Here is a 21,548-nt window from a genome sequence, read left to right as displayed (position 1 = left end):
TAGAATGCAAATTCTGAATAAAATACTTCCACAAGAGACTCTTATCTTAATAGTAGATGTACAGAAATACTTCTGTGTTTCAGTGGAAGTTACTCCATTATATAGCCTTTATGGATGCTGAGAACACGTTCTAGAAACGGATGTCAACCAAGGGAGATTCATTCATTCCATACGTTTTTTAATTTCAAAAAACGTACACCGTCAATATTTTTTCTTAATTGAACAGTTTGTGGAACAGACGGGTGCTTTAATTATGGTGGTCTAAATTTACACACATTGCAGTGGTATTTTGCTACATTAATTACCTTACTTGTCAAGAGTAACAGGTAATTACTACATCAACTCACCCTCCTGCAGTATATAGAAACAGAACTTTATTTGAAAAGATTCAGCAAACCCCAGTGTATAGCCACTCCACACCTTTGTCTTTGCTACAAGAAGACAGCTGTCAGAGCATTTGTTTTATCATTAGCAGGGTAGAGGTGAGTTCACCCTTTTCTTTGTGTCTTTCCACCTAAGATGCGTGTCCAGAAACATTCATAGGCTCAACAAGCATGTGGACTAGCAAGAAACTTTGAGATGATCGAGTTCATTAAACCTTCTCCTGATAATGTGTTTCAGAGAGGGTGCATGACTTTTCCAAAGCCACACAAGAAGTAAATTAATGTCCAAACCAGGACTGGCACCAGTGTCACCTCACTATGCTGCTTTTTGTGAAGCTTAGTGCATTTTAATGATTTTTTTATAACTATAGAAAAATCATTTGGTATAGTATACTTTGAATATTCATTCACTTCATCCTCCTCACTTGAACTTCTAACCAATGCTTTGGCTGCCTTACAAAGAGTATTGATCCTATATTCTGTTGAACTGCCAGGTACAACTCATGTCATTTGGTTTCCTCTCCAGTGTACTAGTGTCAGCTTTTATGACAAGTTGTGTTAAAATTCTACTTTAACATGTTTTTTTTTTGTAAAGGCGAACATTTTGGAGCATATAGGATGCTCTTAGCAAAATCATGCAGCATTAACTCTCCTGGTTGCCATGGCATAGAAAGAAAAGATTTTGTCAGCTTTTAGGTGTGGTCCGGAATATACACAATGACATAATATGGGTGTACTATCTTAAAAGGCTTTGTCCCCTTTTTAGTCAAACACCTGTGACAAAATTACGAACTGTGGTTAACATAGAATACTTACAAGTGGTTTTTCGGAGTCGTCCAGGGTAGAGGAGCTCAGCGTGCAGACAATTTTAGTACCTACTTTTCTTCTTGCACCTGGCACTGGGAGTGAGTGACATTAAAAAGAAGTTCAAGAAGTCAAGAGTTAAGGATCCTACCTTTCAGACATTGTTTGAGATATTTTGTAGGGGGCAAGGTGGGCCTCTCAAGGGTCATTTACGACATAGAAGGGAGAATCTCTTCCAGTCCTCAACCCAAGTCAATTTCTGATGCCTGAATTCCAAGCCTAGATTCATCATTTCTGTAACTGATCTTGTCGTGTGCATTTGCAAATCACTCTGGCATTTATAACTTGTTACATTATAGCTTCGAGTGAGGTTTTCTTTTTTCTTAGCTTTTTATTCAATGGAAGGATAGCATGGTATATTTAGATTTAGTAATTCATCCATTCAACGCATATCTGCTGAGTGCCTGCTGTGTGACAGTCATTGTGCTGTAGATGGCAGGAGGAGGAGTGCATAGCAAGGCAGGAAACAGACCTTTGCCCTCTCGGCTTCTTTCTACTAGAGGGCAAACTCTATGACAGCTCCACCAGGAGAACTCTGTTCTCCTGGAGTTTGTCCTCTAGTATAAAGAAGCAGAGAGTGCAAGTGAAACGAAGGAACAAGATATCTGCGTGGAATGGGAGTTCACACAGGATACAGTGGAAAGCACAGACCTTGGGAAAGCCTGTCTAGCCAGGGAAGGCCTCTTGGAAAAGGTGACTTTCTATTTAAGACTTAAAGAATGATCCTCGGCCAGGCACAGTGGCTCACGCCTGTAATCTCAGCACGTTGGCAGGCTGAGACGGGCGGATCACCTCAAGTCAGGAGTTCGAGACCACCTTGACTAACAAGGCAAAACCCTGTCTCTACTAAAAGTACAAAAAAAAAAAAAATTAGCCAGGAATGGTGGTGCATGCTTGTAATCCCAGCTAATTGGGAGGCTGAGGCAGAAGAATCGCTTGAACCCTGGAGGCCGAGGTTGCAGTGAGCTGAGATCGTGCCACTGCACTCCAGCCTGGGTGACAGAGCAAGACTCCATCTCAAAAAAAAAAAAAGAAAGAAAGAAAAGACGAAAGAATGATCCTCATGTACAAAGAGCCAGGGGAAGAACCTTTCCTGCAGAGAATGAAGAGGGCTAAGCCTCAGAGTAAGGAATAAGCCGAGTGTGGTGTGGGGTCAGAAAGACCAGTGTGGCTCCATGTGGTTATTAGAGAAGGAGGTAGGGAGTGAGGATGGTGTGGGAGAGGTTAGGGGGTCAGCAGGACCCTGTATACCGGGGCGAAGGACTGGGTTTTGTTCTCTGCCATCTAGGCTGGAGTGCAGTGATGCAATTGTAGCTCCCCGCAGCCTCAAATTCCTGGGCTCAGATGATCCTCCCACCTCAGCCTCCCAAGCAGCTAGGACCACAGGTGGGTGTGCCACCATGCCTGCGTAATTTTTTAAATTTTTTATTGTAATGGAATCTTGCCGTGTTGCCCAGGCTGGTCACAAGCTCCTGGCTTCAAGCGATCTTCCTGCCTCAGGCTCACAAAATATTGGCATCACAGGCATGAGTCACTGCACCCAGCCTGGATTTTATTCTGAAATGGATGCGAAGCAGTTGGAGGCAGTGACTTCTGATTCAGGTGTGAGAACAAACCACGTGGACTGGGGAATGGATTGCGGTGTCAGGTGTGTTCTTGAGAGTAGGCTTCTTTGGGGGAGAGGCTGAGATTCTGGTTCCCTGAGGTTGAGCATGGAATCCTGGAAGATGCCACACCTGAGACAGACTCAGCTGGCCCTGGTGAAATGAGAAAACCCTTTTCTAACTGGCGGTGAGATGCAGCTACGCACCAATACAAGGGTGGAAGCACAGTGCTTCAGAGCACAGTCCTCCAAGTGTGGCGCCTGAACCAGCAGCAGTGGCGGAAGCAGCACCTGAGAACTTGTTAGAAATTGAAATTTTCTGGCCTCACTGTAGCCATAGTGAATCAGAAACTCTGGGGTTGGGGGCCAGGCGCAGTGGTTCACGCCTGTAATCCTGGCAGGGGATTACAGGGAGGCTGAAGTGGGTGGATTGCCTGAGGTCAGGAGTTCGAGACCAGCCTAGCGTCTACTAAAAAAATTAGCTGGGCGTCGTGGCGTGTGCCTGTAGTCCCAGTTACTTGAGAGGCTGAGACAGGAGAATTGCTTGAACCCGGGAGGTGGAGGTTGCAGTGAGCTGAGATCATGCCACTGCATTCCATCCTGGGCCACAGAGCAAGACTCCTTCTCAGTAAAAAAAAAAAAAAAAAACAACAAAAAAAACTCTAGGGTTGGGACCTAGCAATGTGCTTGTAACAAGACCTCCAGGTGATTTTGATGAGCATGCAAGTTTGAGAAGCCCGTTATAGGGTGTTTGTGGCAGATAGTGGCAGAAAAGACTTGGGACTTACTACAAATGCACTAATGCACTAGTCTCATGGGAAGATAAGACAGACACAATAAAGGGCTATAGCAAAGTGGTGCCCCGGTGCCGATCGGAACCTGCGTCTTGTGACTCTGTTCTAGTGCCCTTTCCTCAAGTGTTTATGGAGTGAAAGAATAAACAAAACTAACCTTGTATTTTTAAGGATAATTATATTTCTAAAGGAGGAGTTGGGTGGATGTTTAAGGACAAGTGCTATGGTGTGTGAACTCAGGTGACCTCGTTTCTCATGGTACTATTTTCTCAGATAATTTAGAAAAGCAGTGTCAGTGTGAATAACTCACTCCTTTCTCCCTGTCACTGATAGAAAAACAAGTGTTTTTGTCTTAAGTTACACCATTGAGACACTTAGCAGAGTGTAATAGCATTCTTTTATTTCTGTATTACTCAATCTATTTGGCCCTGTTTTGGTTTTGGAAGTCCTGGCACTCCCAAGTTATGTTTTTAGTGTCATGGAAGAAGGCAGAAGATTGATTATTTTCAGGCCTGGTATTTGTGCTTGCTCCTATCTGCTTTGTCCAACAGCGCTGTCAGAAAATCCTAGGATCATTTCCCTCACCCTCCACCCAGTGCTCTCTACCTGGCTAACACCCACCGACTTCTAATTTAATGGCTTGCAGGTCATTTCTTCCACGAAATCTTTTCTGACCCCTTGTGCTTAGGTTACATCTGTGTGTTAATCATTCCCATGTGCTTTTGTTAGTGTTTCCTGGTAGTATGTGGGCTCCAGGAGGTCTTAAACCTCATTTGTCTCAAGTTCAAGCTATATTGTGCTTCAAACATAGTGTCTGGCATGTGGTGGTACTGAGAAAGTAGCTGTTTCTTGGATGCTTTCCCTCTGAGTTGATTAACTACACTCTATGGTCGATCTTGGAAGACATAGTGGCGGGTTCTTCCTAAAAGGGGGTTACACCGGATATTAAGACATGGTCCCTGCTGTGCACAGTGGCTCACGCTTGTAATCCTAGCACTTTGGGAGACTGAGGCGGGCGGATCACGAGGTTAGGAGTTCAAGACCAGCCTGACCAACATGGTGAAACCCCGTCTCTACTAAAAATACCAAAATTAGCTGGGCATGGTGGTGCATGCCTATAATCCCAGCTACTTAGGAGGCTGAGGCAGGAGAATCGCTTGAACCCAGGAGGCAGAGGTTGCAGTGAGCTGAGATTGCGCCATTGTACTCCAGCCTGGGTGACAGAGCGAGACTCCGTTTCTGTTTTTGTTTTTTTGTTTTTTTGAGACGGAGTCTCGTTCTGTTGCCCAGGCTGGAGTGCAGTGGAGTGATCTCGGCTCACTGCAGCCTCCGCATCCCAGATTCAAGCTATTCTCTTGCCTCAGCCTGCAGAGGCAAGGCTATGCCCCTTACCCGCCACTACGCCCAGCTAATTTGTTTCTATTTTTAGTAGAGACGGGGTTTCACCATGTTGGCTAGGCTGGTCTCGAACGCCTGACCTTCTGATTCACCTGCCTCAGCCTCCCAAAATGCTGGGATTACAGGCGTGAGCCACCGTGCCCAGCTGAGACTCCATTTCAAAAAAAAAAAGACATGGTCCCATGGGGTCAAGATGGGAGAAGTATAGACAAAGCCAGAAATAAGTATTTATTTGAGGTAGATCTTAATGAGGGCAGAAATAAGTATTTCTTTGAGGTAGATCCTAATGCGGTATACACTCACAATGTGTTAGCTGCTGTGACTAACACAGAGATTTTGGTAGCTTTACATAATAAGGTATATGTTTTCTTCCCTTCATGTCTGTTGAACCTCCTCATCTTATTCTTGTTATGGGGTCTCAGCAGTTGGTGGGGAAGAGGAACAGGGAGTGCAGTTGACCTTCCATCATGGGCTTAGAAGTGCTGCCCCTTGCTACTGCTGACATCCCATTGAGCAGAAATCAGTCACATGGGCCTGACTTGTATAAATGCCAGTGAAATTGGGATTGGAATTGGAAATGTCATTTCCCTGTGTACCCAGGATGAAGACATTGCAGTGAAATTAGTTATCATGTGACAGTCCCAACAATTGATTACTTTGGTTTTAGCTACTGAGGTTTGATCAAAATAAAGCATACTTCCTATTTTTGTAGCCTGTGCATATATCAATACCCTTTTTTTCTCAGAGACTAATGAGAGTGATGACCCACAGTGGTTCTTAACTTTTGCATGTCATGAAGAGGATGTCTTTCATTTAAATCCCAACTAAGGCCAGGCATGGTGGCTCATGCCTGTAATCCCAGCACTTTGGGAGGCCAAAGCAGGCGGATCACTTGAGGTCAGGAAGTTCGAGACCAGCCTGGCCAACATGCTGAAACCCCATCTCTCCTAAAAATACAAAAATTAGCCAGGTGTCGTGGCACACGCCTGTTTATCCCAGCTACTCAGGAGGCTGAGGCAGGAGAATCCTTTGAACCTGAGAGGCAGAGTTTGTAGTGAGCCGAGATCACACCATTGTACTCCAGCCTGGGCAACCGAGTGAAACTCCATCTAAAAAAATAAATAAATAAATAAAATAAAAATTAAATAAATAAATCCCAACTAAGAGCCTGTCTTCCTCTGTAGGATTCACCAGGGTAATTTGTCGAGGGTCCAGCTGTAGCATGCAGTCCTTATGTCATCAAATGAAATATTCAACCCTAAGTGGTGAACACGTTTGAATCCAAACAGATTGGCTCTCACAGGACAATATCTGCTTGTGTTCTGTGGTTGGCATTATTTTTTTCTTCTGCTCCTGGAGTTGACAACTCTGGGAAAAAGTTTGGTGGTATTGCAGAGGACTAACTAGTCCATTACCACTAGCCATCATTATGGTCTTGGAAAGGACTGGTGGTCAAATTCTTATTTCTTAAGGAGAAAATTGAAGTTGCTTTTAAGATTTGAATTTTCTGTTCACTAATCTCACTTATTTTCATCCAGAAAATGATATGAAAAATGATCCATGATATATTCGGTGGAGGAAAACACAGAGTGTTTATAGTACACTGTTTTTTGTTGTTGTTTTTGGATTTTTTTAGGTAAAGATATGTTGTTTTACCCACTCAGCATCACGGTTCTCAGGATAGGAGCTGAAATCTTCATCTAATCTTCGATATCCCTCCCTGCCGTCCTTCCAGCCCAGTATGAAGACTCAGTGAGAAGCTTGTAGTGGAGATACGTAGTTAAGCGGGAGGCCAGAGAGGTCAACAGGGGTCAGGTCATACAGGACCTTGTAAACCACGGGAATGCTTTTGGCCCCTGTTCTGACACTACTGGGAAGCCATTGAGAGAATGCAAACAGGGAGTGAATGCAACGTGAGAGAGAGGGAGTGTGTATGTGTATGTGAGAGAGACACTGATGAATGCTGATCACATTTATTGTGGGTTTTTTGGCTGTGGGGAAGGAGCCTCTGCAGGAGAGAGGAGGCGCAAAGGCAGTGTGGTGGCCTTCTCCTAGCTGACAGGAGAGGTCTCCTCCCTCCTTCTGCACAGAAGTTGCTTGTCAATCAGGAGCTTACCATCCCAGCTTCAAAGCAGGCAGTGCATTTGGGGTAAATATTTATGAAATGCCAAACTTTGTGATCAAGATGTATTTTGTTTTTAATGAGCAAATGACTCAGAACTGTTTGAGGTTATTAAAAGACAAATTATTGTGTGCCATCATGGAAAAAGGGAAGAGGAGAAAGTATAATTTTACATCAAGCAATTTATTTACAGCCATAATCCGCAAGCAATCAACCTCTTTAAACAAAATTATTTAATTTCTTGTAAAGGCTTAAAGTATGAAAATTTAATTTATTTAGGGAATCTCATTAAGAGGACTTTTAAAAAGTAAGGTGGTCTATTCAGTTGCTTTAAGGAATGTTAATTGAGTGCGTAAGATACCATAAACATTGTGTTTGGGGCATGAGAAATAACATGAATCTCTGCTCTCAAGACACTTCTAGTCTGGAAACAAGACAGTCAAAAGCCATTAATAAATGAGTAGAAATGTGCAAAATGTTTCTTCTTTTTTTAAAGTCAAAACCATTGTTTCAAATTGTATAACAGGTATTTTGGATATTACTTGGTTTTGGAAAATCTAGAGAATACAAAAAATTCTAAAGAAAAATCCTGACCGTAATCCCATTTCTCTAGGGCAAATACTGTTAATTTTATTTTTTTCTGTTCTTCATTGACACATATTTTTATACAGCTGAGAATTACTGTAGATACAATTTTCCTATCTTGCTTATTTTATATCACATTAACAAGCATTTGCACACATTTCCCCATTTTTAATGACTACAACCTATAAAATATGCCTTTGTCAGACTGGATTATCATTTACTTGCTTTTGTTCTGTTTTGATAGACATTTAAGATAAGACAGATTCATAAAATTTACCCATTTTATGTCTCAAATCATCTTTTACACTTAACTGTTATAATAAAACATTAATGGGGAACTGAGATTTAAAAAAAGATATCTCTCTGTATGTATGTCTCTGAGCTTTGCCATCCACAACGAAAAAAAAAGTGGACCAAGTCGTCATTACAATAATTGTACATCCTTGAGAGAATAGTGGGGGAATAATACATTTGACTCATTGTTTCTGGCATATTCTATCACTGGACATGTAGCTCCTACCCTGAAATTGGTTAAGAAGGAACATCTTGTTTTTTGTTTTGTTTTGTTTTGTTTTTAAAATGGAGTCTTGCCCTGTCGCCAGGCTGGAGTGCAGTGGGCTCACTGCAACCTCTGCCTCCCAGTTTCAAGCAATTCTCCTGCCTCAGCCTCCCTAGTAGCTGGGACTAGAGGCACACGCCACCACGCTCAGCTAATTTTTGTATTTTTAGTAGAGATGGGGTTTCACCGTGTTGGCCAGGCTGGTCTCCATCTCTTGACCTCGTGATCTGCCGGGCTTGGCCTCCCAAAGTGCTGGGATTATAGGCGTGAGCCACCGCACCCAGCCGGAACATCCTTTAAATCCAAGAAAGCAGTTTGCTTCTAATTTAGGGAATCTTCATGCCTGATTTTGAAACTTTTAGTGGATGTCATTTCTGTCTCACTCTTCCAGTGACATCTAAAATCTACTGTTTATTTTGCTTTTTTAAAAAAGGTCCAACATAAAGTCACTTTAAGGTGACTGTTACCTACACTATCTTAACACAGGGGCTTGACTGTATTGATGAGAAAAAGCTTCAGCTTTTTTTTTTTTTTTTTGGTTGTTGCAAGTATTCCTTGGATTTTTGTTCGGAATGGCATGGGATTCTAGTAAGCTGTCTATGTGGGCGCATGGGCCCTTGGAAAGGTGGCATGACTTAGGGGAAAGAACCAGGCATGGGGTGAGTGAGTGGAAGCTGAGCCTGCCAGCACTCATCTCTTAACCCTTTGGCAAATTAAGGCAACTACCCTTACCATCAGTAATCCATCCCTGGCAGTCAGATATCCTGAGTGAAAGTGCTGACCAGAGTCTATTTCACATTATTTTACATAGGACAAATTTTAATGTGTTATGTGTCAATGTGCAAAACCCTCAATCAATGTTCTGAAGCAGAAGTTGGCAAATCCAGCCCACTGCCAGTTTGTGTAAATAACGTTTTATTAGAACACAACAACACCCACTTGTTTACATGTGATTACTTTTCTACTGTAGTACCCAAGTAGTTGCAATAGAGAGCTGTGGCACCAGAGTCTAAAATATTCACTAAGTGTTCCTTTACAGAAAAAGTTTACCAACTCTTTTCTAAAATATGACTAAAAGATAGTAAAATATCTTATATATACACAGCTATCACGTTAAGGATGTAAAAATGTTTAAAACATTAATTAGTTAACAGTTAATATGATCTCAACATTTATTTTGTTTGAAATGTGACTTCTTTTTTAATCATGAAGAACATCTGAAACGCATCACTTTTGTGGCTGGGTTTTCAAAACCTCTAGGGAGGTATCTGATGTTCTACCAGTTGTACTGCAATGTGACACTTAACCTTCACCCATTTCGTTAAAAATGTTACATTAAATTTGAAGGATGTGATAGGATTTTTTCTTTTATAATAGCAGCAGACAAAACTGTTTTATTTAGAAATAAATAAAACATGTATTTTCTGTAAAGTTTGGATATTAAAAGCCAATTCAACAGCAACAACAAAAGGCATTCAACTAGGAAACTGTCAACTGGATCAATATTCTGTGGCATTTGGTTTTATTTCACTTCTTAGAAGCTCAGTATTCTTACCTGTAAAGTGGGAATCAAACTTCCTTACTGGGCTACGTGAAGGTTAAGTAAGTAAAACTATGTCTGACACATTTTGGGCATACATTAGCTGTTGGTTCCCTTTCCTTTTACTACCCTTAGCTTAGTTAGAGGAGCAAATAATGGTAACTATGAAATATTTTCAGAAAATGTTCCAAATTGACAGAGCTTCTGCTTACTTATGGTTACCTGGAGACCCAAGTAAAAGCCAGGGAGAAATTGGAAAGGTCCATGTATTTGGGTAAGAGATACTAGCAGCTGTAACCAACATTCCAGAATTTGAAATTTTTGAAATTAGCCGGGTGTGATGGCACGCGCCTGTAGTCCCAGCTGCTCGGGAGCTTAACTCAGTGCAGTTTAATGGGTGAGCACCTCCCACTGTTAGTGCTGGTTGAGGGGGACTGGAGCGGTGGTGGCTCTGCTCCATGTAGTCTTTCAGGGACCCAGGCGAATTCCATCCAGTGACTCCACTATCTCCAGGAACTAGGCATTCTCTACTGGATCTCTGCGCCCACGATCCAGGGAAGAAAGCAGTCATTAGGCAGGGTGCCAGAGGCTTCAGGATCTGAATGAAAGTAGTGTATACCCACTTCCATCTATTTGGTTAGAACTCAGTCACCAGGCCCCACCTAACTACAAGGGATGCTGGGAAATGCATTCCAGCTGTGTGTTCAGGAAAAAGAAATGGATTTGATGAACGTTTAGCTGGTCTTTGCCACAGACTGACCGCATTTTCTTGTATTATTATGGAGGACAAATGTTTACCATACATAAACTGCCCAGAGGTGCTGATAATCTGAGAACCTGTCTCCAACAAGTCCCCTGGGAAGGGCAGCATTTAAAGACAGTCGTGCTGGTTTGGAACAATTTATCTGCCTACTTGTTTAAATATATTTAAAAAATTAGCCTGCAGTCTGAATCTACTTCCCACATGTTGTGTGCCATTTAGGCATTTTGGCGTTCTAAAATGACAGATCTATCTCAGAGTGAGTAAGTTTAGGAATACATACTTAAGAAATGTTGCATGCAGTGACATTTTCCTTCCCAAAGTGATCTACGTGTACTCAAATTTATTTTGCTATTTTATAAAATAAGAAGTTGTACACAATATTGAGTAGAATTCTTTATCCGTGATGGCAGATAGAACATCTGTTGAAATACTACCACTGTTACTTATTTTGAATTGCACATTTTACAATGAATTATATCAGAATTATATCAATAAAAAATTGAAAAAATTTTCAATTTTTTAACACCTTTAATAGATCTAAACACACCTTTTTTTTTTAAAGTTATTCATTTACATCATGATTATATGAATATTTTAGGATTATAATCACCCTAAAATGAAGGACAAAATTTATCACACCAAAATAGAAATTTAATTTAAAGTACAAAGAACTTGATTACAAGGTTTAGTAGACTAGAAACAAGACATAAAAGAAGACATTAAAAAACACTTTTTAAGACACCCTCAGCAGTATAGTTTTACAGTAGATTTGGAAAAAATACAACAGCATTTATTAATGTTTGTGAAGATCATATTATAGACTAATCAAAGATCAAAGTTTGTAAGGTTCAAAAAACACACATAAGCAAATTTTGGTCATTTCCTGGAAAATACTAACTTTAAATATCTTCATTCAGGCTGGGCATGATGGCTTATGCCTGTAGTCCCAGCACTTTGGGAGACAAAGGCAGGCAGATTGCTTGAGGCCAGGAGTTTCAGACCAGCCTGGGCAGCACAGTGAGACACTGTCTCTACAAAAAATACAAAAATTAGCCAGACATAGTGACACCTGCCTGTAGTCTCAGCTACTTGGGAGGCTGAGGTGGGAGGATGGCTTGAGCCTGGGAGATTGAGGCTGCAAAGAGCAGAGATCATGCCACTGCACTGCAGCCTGAGCAACAGAGTGAGACCCTTTCTCAAAAAAGTAAATAATAGGGCTGGGCGCGGTGGCTCACGCCTATAATCCTGGCACTTTGGGAGGCTGAGGCAGGTGGATCACAAGGTCAGGAGATCCAGACCATCCTGGCTAACACGGCAAAACCCCGCCTCTACTAAAAATACAAAAAATTAGCTGGGCATTACAGTGGGCACCTGTAGTCCCAGGTGCTCGGGAGGCTGAGGCAGAAGAATTGCTTGAACCCAGGAGGTGGAGGTTGCAGTGAGCCGAGATCATACCATTGCACTCCAGCCTGGTGACAGAGCGAGACTCCATCTCAAAAATAAATAAATGAATAAATAATAAAACACAAATTTTCATTCAGTATCATACAGTTAGTGAAGTTTGTTTGAGATGGAAGCTGCTCTTGGCCATATTGTGATCCAGGGGCCTTAGTCAAAAGTCAGACTTGTCCACAGACATGTGTAATTAAAAATACTCCACTCACTTTTCTTGGTACTCCATGACATTTCCCACTACCTGTCACTTTGTCCTTGACGATATATGGGGCAGAAAACAAATTGCTTGGACGAGGTTGGTTTTCCAGTCAGCTGTTCCTTATTTTTCTCCGGTGCTTCTTTGTTATATTAGAGTTCAAATTTACTATTCATGAAACACATTTTAATCAGTGACCATATCAGACAAATGGAAGCTAAGCGCTGGTTAGTCTGTTGAAAATAAACATGAGGGCTCTCATTAATGTCGCTGTCTGAATAATTAGTTGAGCATCCAGTCCTGAGCAGCGGTGAAAGCAGACCGGCGTCTCACTGGAACGACAGGCTGACAGCCCTGTCTTGGAGAATGGTCATTAGTGTGCCCCGCCATCAATGTCATGTTACTGTGTCAAATTAGTTAGTGTCCCCTTAGGAGAGAAGCCGGACCTACAAATTATCCTCCCACATCCCTTGGAAACTGTGTTTGCCAAACCTGCAATCGAGTGTGAGCAAATTATTAACACGGCTCATAAATTAACTAGTTTACAGGCTTATAACATTTTACAAGTAGATAATAAAGGGGAGAAAAGTTTTCCAATTGCATTGCCCTGACGTGGGGCTGTGATCTGCCGACTGTTCCTTGAGGAGTCCACAGCTCATAGTTTTTTGTTAAGAGTCCAAACTCATGGGGTGTCAGAACAAATGTTTGGAAATGTAGAATCTAAAAGGCAGCCAGTGTAAATCCACTGAAAACAATATAATTAACTTCATTATCTCGTTGCTCTGATAAGTCGATGACAATGGTCATCTTTCTTTTAGTGGCAGTTGCTCATTAATGAGTTCACCAATTAAGTTTGAACGATTACAGCCTTTACCAACTGAAATTATCTTAAAAACATTTTTGATGCATTCTTATCATACTCTTAAGCTCCCTTGCTCAAGAGGGAAAATGCCCACACAGCACATTAAACTCATATAAGAATGAAGATTCAGAAGTCATGTGCAAAGAGTTTATGCACACTAGACACCAGATACCTAGAAAACATAGTGTGGACAAATCTGGCCTGAGTTTATCTCATATCTAGAAGAGACACCCACTGGGAACACCATCTCTTAACTCTCTTCTGAGTTCTGGTAGGCAGACAGCCCACATAGTTTCCGGAGACAGGTGACTATTCAAATCATAAAACTTCGTGCATCTCCTTTTTAGTTTCAACTTCTCCATCTGAGTAGGTTAAAAACATGTAAATTCACAAAGTATTGCCTGAATTTACTATTGAAAGAGAACACTGCACACAGACGTACATGTACGTGCCTTGAAAGCTCAGGCTTTCTACCCATTCTATAGTTCCATTTTTTTTTTTCTGTATTAGTGAGAGTCCTTTATTTAATCTTGAGGACCATATAGATGGCATTATTATCTCAAGGATCTATGCAGAAAAGACCCGGCATGTGAAACCTTGCTACTGACAGCTATTCGCAAAAACTTTCTGAAAGTGCTTGAGGATGAGTTGACTTATCTGTCAGCAACTTCAACTTACTTGGAATTGGATTTGGTAAATATTCTACTAATAACCTAACCAAGCGATGAAAGCTTTGCAGTCTCAGCACATGAACAGAGTGACTGTTTCCATGAGAAGGTGTGTCACAGTCTCCTTTTGCATTTGAAATGCAACTGAAAAAAAAAGAGTTGCTAACTGTGGCAAGTAAGATTTTCTGTTTGGCTGTCAGGAGAGAGCTTGTATGTTTCGCTAGTAGGGCGCCTGTGTCCATGTATGTACTTACTTCCTCCTGTCTCTTCTACTGAGTGCATTGAGATAGGCTAAAAGATCAAAACTCATGGCAAAATTATCATTTGGACCTATGGATCTTCTTTTTCTTATTTCTCAGGATGTATTAGCACTGTAATTATGAGAATTTATCTTGAGAAATAAGAAATTATAAGCCGAGCATGGTGGCTCATGCCTGTAATCCCAGCACTTTGAGAGGCCGAGGCGGGTGGATCATTTGAGGTCAGGAATTTGAGACCAGCCTGGCCAACATGGTGAAACCTTGTCTCTACTAAAAATACAAAAATTAGCCAGACACGGTGGCGGACACCTGTAATCCCAGCTACTCGGGAGGCTGCGGCAGGATAATCGCTTGAAACTGGGAGGTGGAGGTTGCAGTGAGCCGAGATCATGCCACTGCACTCCTCTAGCCTTGGAGATAGAAGAAGACTGTGTCTGGAAAAATAATTGCAGCACTTTGTAGGCTGAGGCAGGAGTATCACTTGAGCTCAGGAGTTTGAGACCAGCCGGCCTACTAAAATTTAGCTTGTCTACTACAATTCCAAAATTATTTGGGCATGGTGGCGCACACCTATAGTTCAAGGTACTTGGGAGCGCTTGAGACTGGGAAGTTGAGGCTGCAGTGAGCCCTGAATGTGCCCTGCACTCCAGCCTGAGTGGCAGAGCGAGACCCTGTCTCAGAAAAAAGAAAAGAAATAGAAATTATGGTACGGAAGATAAAGGAACTTAACTTCCTAAGTGGATGTCAGTGCCTTCAAGAGTGACAGTTTTACTCACCTACATAACATTTTGCATCCTCCTCCTGTAATTCAGGTTGTGAGCTAGGTCAAATGCTGATTCTAGAAGGCAAAGGATAAAATAGATGCTTAGATACATGATTATATACTGAAGGTAAATGTGGTATGTAAATGAGGGATACCAAAGGCTCGTGTGTCTGTGTTGCTTTTGAAGCATCACCATTTGCCCCTTCACTTAACCTCTTCTTTTCTTTTTGCTTTCAGCTTCCCTCTGTGTGTTGCAGTCCTGTGGCATTATGCATGCCCCCTCCCAGTGACCCCAGGCTTTTTATGGCTGTGAGACACGTTAAAATTTCAGGGTAAGTGACAGACACCACTGATGCTGTATACCACCTAAAAATTGCCATCTACCTTTGCGGGGGACCCAGTGGTCGATATAGTAATCCTGCAGAAGATAATGGCCTTTCTAATTATCAGGCCCTGATTCTGAAGCTAGCAGGCATTTGAATGCTGCTACCCCCCATGATAGCTTTATGGTTTTCAAGAATAGGGTTCATAACGGGGATCATATTTGTGGGAAGGTGACCTAATGCAGGGGTTGGTAAAATTTGTAAGGGGCCAGATAGGAAATATTGTCATCCTCATGAGCCATACAGTCTTTTTTGCAACTAGTCAACTCTGCCTTTAGAGCACAAAAGCAGCCATAGATAATATACAAGCAAAGGGGTGTCACTGTGCTCCAGTGAGACTTTATTTACAAAAACAGACAGTAAGCCATATTTGGCCTGAAGACTATAGTAGGCTGTCCCTTGATTGGATGCATCAAAAACGGACATTTGACCTGTAAACCTGACACCTCGCTGGGTACCACTCCGTCTGACCTTGAGCAAACCATTTATCTGCGAGAAACAGGAATAAAAAATATATACCTGCCCTTACTACCTTGAAAGATGGTGTTGTAAGGATGAAACAAGATATAATGCATGTGAAAGCACTTTGAAAATTTCGAAACTCCTTACGAATGTGATGATCGGCTCTACAGTCATTCTGGTTCACCTTGTGGAGTGTGACTTCTTCACCTTTTTAATCACATTGGGCTTTCATGAGCGAAATGAGTGTGGGGGAAAGCTCTCTTATTTTCTGAGTAATGTGGTTTGTCTGTACGTTCCTTCTATTTTACAGTTGATGGACTAGCTGTTGAAATGTCTTTCTTTTTAGTATCAAATATGGATGAAGGGATATGCGGGTAGATTATGGTAGGCTAAAGATCAAATGCCAATGAAGAACGATTAAATTTCCTTTAATCATCAGAATCTGAGAGTGCTGTAAGATCTCACCTTTAATATAGGCCTTAATAAATAATAATGCTTTGGATGCCTACAAGTATGTTTAAATTTCACAAGTCTTGCATGTCAAAACAGAGAGACAGGCTCAGCAAATATGCTTCCCTGGGCTAGCAATACTAATTAAGAAGGCAAGTCATACTTAAACAAACAGCTTTGGGAATAGAGGGTTAATCAGAATCCCAATTCATGAATCTTCTAGTTTTTTTTTTCCCTCAGAGAAAATTGTAGTGTCATCTTTAGATATGTTTTCATGTCATTATATTAGTTAAGAATTGTTTTCTAGTAAGAGAGATATAAGTATAAAAAATTATTTAAGTATTCTGTCGTAAAAACATCTGGGAAGAGCAGTTTGTGTCTTCTATCTTTCTACTCTGCTTATTCAAGTGCGTTCCTTCATCTTCAAGGTCACATGGTGGCTGCTGGCTCTCAGGCCATTGCCTCTACATCCAAGACAAAAAGTAGTTTTCCTGGCTGAGGCAGGCCTTTTTAAAGCACTTTCCCTGTAGCCTTATCCAATGATGCCTGCTTACATCCTATTAGCCACCCCTAACTGTAAGGGTGTCTGGGAAATGCATCCTTAGACTTGAACAATTTGATGTCCCAGGTAAATTCTGGGTTCTAGTACTAAGAAAAGGTGAATGCTTACTGAGCAACCATTATGGTTACTTTTACGAAATCATGCTGTCAATTTTGCTTACATGTTTAATTTTTATTTATTTTCAATGAATGCCTTCTGTTGACTGTGCCTTGTTTGAATTTTACATGTTAGAATTTTAGCCTGTTTAATTCTCAGCAGAGATACAGCTCAGTAAATATTTTAAGACCACAATATTCTTACTGAAAGTGCCATGGCAAATCTGAGAAATACATTTCTTTATTAAGAGAGCTATAAAGCAAAATTTAAACTCTCGAATATGCTAGTCTAGTGGGTTTTCCTTCCTGTGGATGTAAGATTTCATTAAGGCTTGAGTACTAGCATGAGGTCTTAGTGGCACGCACTCACACCCAATTCTGTTCCCCCTATATGGGCAGGGGACATTGCTGACAGCTTTGCATTGTCCCTCTGTTCTTATGTAGACTCAAGGACGGGACAGAACTCTCCATCCTACCTTTCTGTGATTTGTTGCTCCCTGTATCTCTGCTGAAAGCTTACCGTGGGAGTGGGGTGCACGGGACAAGTAAGCCACTCCTGTCCAAATTTTCTGTCCCAAATTGGCCTGTACATGATTCTTGTGAGCCACTTTTTATCCCATAAAATGAATAGAATGAGACTTCCCTATGCTTTGTATTAATAATATATTCTCTGCCTATACTGGCCTGTGACGAGTAGTCATAAAACTTAGGGTAATGGATGCATTCGCAGAAACTCCTTGGATGCCTCCTGTGGATACAGGATAGCAGCATGGTTAAGAGTGTCTGCTTTGAAGTTAGATTGGCTTAGACTCAGATTCCACCTTTTCCACTTCCTGGCTGAACAACCCTAGGCAAGTTACTTAACCTTTCTGTGCCACGGCCTCCTTATCTGGAAAAGGGGATAAAAATAGAAGCCAGCTCACTCTGAAGAGTTAGAGAGGTGATGCTTGTAAAGAGCTTAGCACGGATCCTGGTACATCATAAATGCCAGCATTGTACTAGGCACCCCAGGTGATACAGTGGAAATCTCTGTCTCTGACAAGCTTGTACCATCCTGTTGCTGGTTCACTGGTCGTTGTTTTACTGATAGATGACGCATGTTTCGCAGTCCATTGCTCCTCACCTGGTATTCCCTTGTAAATGCAAGTACAGCCTTGGGAGCTTGTCCTGCTGCACATCTGCAAGGACACGTGCAGCTATGTATACAGCTGCTGTAGCCCTGTTAGCAGAGCTTAGGTCTCTGGATCCTGTTTTGAGGATTTCCCCTGAGAAGCATACAGTTCTTTTTTTATTCCTTTTTTTTTTTTTTTTTTTTTGACTTAGTCAGACAATGGTCCTGCCTCGCAAGCAGAATTCACTAACTGCTTTCAAGTTGGTATTGCTGATGATAATCTGAAACTGTAGGGTTTCGCTCGTGCAGGCTGATGTTACATGATGTCGATCTTCTGCCACCTCATCCTCCATCCCTGCCTCTGTGCTGACTCGGCAAAGCAGGTCCTAGTCCCCCACAGATCCTCTTGGGAATGGCCCTCAAAGGACTGTGTCATCTGCACACAGAAGCTGCCACAGGTCCGTGGCAAAGAATGTCAGCAGTACTCATGGATGACCCAGTTGGTGACTTGTACCCAGATTGAAAAACAGTGCCAACCACGTGACCCTGGCTGTCTCTTGAGTTTTTGAGCCCTGTTAGGTGAGACGGGTAAGAGTCACACCACCTATAATAACAAACCTGCAGTGATAATTCATTAACATTGACACCATATCACAGAACTGATGGTTTTGGGGCAACAGACCCCAGCCTATAGTAGTACTTATCAGGGGTCTGCCTGACATAGGCTTTGCTTCCATCATGTTCACTGTGTGGAGATAGTGGCTTGAAGATCTGGCGTGTTCAAAAGACTCTTGGAAACTTCGAGCTTTTGCCGCGTGGTTTCCAATATTTTATTTAAACCCCATTACTCTTCTCAGATGTCATAAAATCTCCCTTGCCTCTGAATTACGGGATACCTTCCATGCCTCCCAGGACTCACTCCTTCTCATCCCTTAGTGTTCAGTTCAAAAATCAACCCCTTAAACATGCCTTTGCTGACCACCTACGTGAAAGGGGACAGCCCCTTTATTATTTTTCTTGATCCAAACCTCTTGTTTGTTCCATATGTTACAGCCCTGTCCCTTCATGAATTCACCTGTTTATCAGGTAATAAGCAAGAAGTAGGTCGTATTCAGTGTGGCTTCTCCATGGCTAGCAGTGCCTAACATATGGTAGGTATGCATGCAGTCGGTATTTGTTGAATCAGTCAGAGTCTGGGGATTTCCCTGTGAATTTCTGTATTTTTATGGCACCTAAGAGGACTGTATCTGGTTGAGGGAGAAAGAGAAGGAACAAAGCTACACACATCACCTTTATTGTAGGAATAAAATACTGCCCTTGGGTTTTCTCTGGAAAGTTCCCACTATGTACTGCATACTCTGCGTGTCCCATCCGGAAGGGGTTATACATTATCTTCCCCATGAAGACAGAATCATTTGCCACTTGAGCCTGAAGGATATTGTGGGTGGTACAAATTGATTAAGGACATTGGGATCCAAGCTCAAACCCCAACACTCTCATTCAGTGGCTCTTTTTTTGGACAAATTATTTTCTCTCTCTAAGACTCAGTTTACTTGCCTGGGGCAGGGGTAATAGCATTACCTAGCCACTGAGCTATTGCGAGGATTAAATTAGATGGTACGTATAAAGCACTTTGCACAACGTCTGGAACAGAATAACAGTGCTGTTGATTTAAGGGTATCAGCAAAGGCTTTGGGGACCTCCACTGATAAAACTCATCTTCTGCTTTCTTCTGATGTTCATTTTAGAGGTGGCAAAGATGGCAAAGAACCTTGATTCCCGATTATATTTGCTCATGTTTCATGTGCTGAATTAACTTCAAAAAGTACAAAATAAGCAAGCAGTGAGATAGTCTGTTTTATATTTGTTGTTGACACGTTGACTGTTGGATGCTCATGACCTGTCTCAGGTAGCACATGCTAGAAACCTCAAGCGCTGCAATGGCTCAGTGTCTGGAGCCTGACCCACATCCAGAAAACCATGGAAATTGAGAGTTTGGGGTGCTGCAGTGTCTGTACGCCTTCTTGCTGGGGATATGTTTTGCCTTTAAGTTAATCAGAGCTGGTTTGATCTCCTGCCTTGCAATAGAGGGCATCTTAAATTTCCTTAAATTCTCTTCTCTCTCTCTTTTTTTTTTTCTGGAGACGGAGTCTCGCTCTGTCACCCAGGCTGGAGCGCAGTGGCGCAATCTCAGCTCACCATAACCTCCGCTCCTGGGTTCAAGCGATTCTCCTGCCTCAGCCTCCCTAGTATTTTTTTTTTTTTTTTGTATTTTTAATACAGACGGGGTTTCACCTTGCTGGCTAGGCTGGTTTTGAACTCCTGATCTTGTGATCCGCTCATCTCAGCCTCCCAAAGTGCTGGGATTACAGGCGTGAACCACCGCGCCCAGCCCAATTCTCTTCTCTTTTTTTAAAAAAATATACTTGATGTGTCGGTCCTGAAAATTCACATCACTTCTCTTTTGATAGAAAACCAAAGTCTGTATAGTCTGAAAGGAGTTAGATATAAATGTCTTTCATTATTAACACCAATTTCTTCCACCTGCTTGAAGAAGATGATCTATTATTTTTGCTATATTGTTCCACCATGTCAGTGGTTGACATTTGTTGTTCATTGTGAATTTTTTATGTAAAAGCTGAAGCAGAGAGAGGGACCTGTCTCACTCTGTATCACATGACTTTCTAGCGGACAAGAATGAAATCTATGAAATCATATACTCTTATTTACACGACTTATGGAGTAACTAGGGTTATCTAGGAAATTAAAATAGCCATTTCTTTTATTAATTCATAACTTGTACTCTTGCAACTTAACAATAAAAGGACATGATTAAAATATAGTTTAAGGCATCAAACGTGGTTACTAATATCCTTTTAGGAAAGGAAAAGATGAAATCCAGTAAGTTTCAGTCAAAGTAAGTGAATAAATCAGAAAAAAAAACATTGGTTAGACTCATGATAACCCTCAGAGTGGCTAACACCCAGATTTTTTGCATCTCTAAAAATATATAACACCCCTGTCTCCAAATATCACTTCAGAAACTAAAATAATAATTCGTGAAAGGGGAAACAGATCCGTGTAATATGAGACTTGATCAGGCAGTTTACGCGGGATGCTTGAGGGCCTAGATCAGCCCTTGTGCTGCCCTCTTCTCAATACCCTGGTGCCTGAGGAGCAGCGGGGAAGATTAGGAGCTTTCTGAGGGTTTTTACTTTAATGCTTTGAAATTTTGCTGCATCGTCTGAGTCCAATTTGGTTCAGCAGTCTCTCAGTGCCAGGTGACTCTGGCTAAGATGCTCTAGGGCTGAATTTTTTAATGCCAGCTTTCCCAGGGGATCAGTAAAGGTTTTGCCCTGGGTATTCCAACCAGGAGAGCCTGTGTCCTGTCTTTGTCCACATCTGTCCCCAGTCATTAATGGTGACACAAAATAGTCTCCCACTCCTGACTCACTTCCTAAACCTGGCAGTTTCTTTGGGATTCTACTCCTAGAATAATTGGTGCTTAGACCTTCTTAGGTTTATCTGTATGTATGTACCTAGAAGAACTTGCATTTCGTGCTGTCACCAATATTCTGCATGCTTAAAAAGTAGGGAGAGGTGGAAGTAGAATTTTCTAAACTCATGAAAAATCTAACCCTAAAAAATCTCAATAAACAGCAGTTTTTTA

The 21,548-nt window shown here is 41.7% G+C and overlaps 1 protein-coding gene across 10 annotated transcripts in view; it reads left to right on the top strand.

Annotated features, from left to right (window-relative positions):
• The window catches only part of FOXP1 (forkhead box P1), a 629,271-nt gene that overhangs the window by 209,682 nt on the left and 398,041 nt on the right, over positions 1 to 21,548 (top strand). For 9 of the 10 annotated variants that reach the window (NR_146143.3, NR_146142.3, NM_001244810.2 and 6 more), the window contains one exon: positions 15,053 to 15,147. The exons of the other annotated variant lie outside the window; for it this stretch is intronic. The gene's annotated coding sequence lies outside the window, so the exon portion shown is untranslated. The remainder of the gene's footprint in view (positions 1 to 15,052; positions 15,148 to 21,548) is intronic. 10 annotated transcript variants of the gene reach the window in all.

This window comes from Homo sapiens, chromosome 3 (genome assembly GCF_000001405.40).
Source record: "Homo sapiens chromosome 3, GRCh38.p14 Primary Assembly".
Classification (NCBI taxonomy): domain Eukaryota; kingdom Metazoa; phylum Chordata; class Mammalia; order Primates; family Hominidae; genus Homo; species Homo sapiens.
Note: the sequence above shows the minus strand (reverse complement) of the source record. Positions and strands in the feature narration are given on the sequence as shown.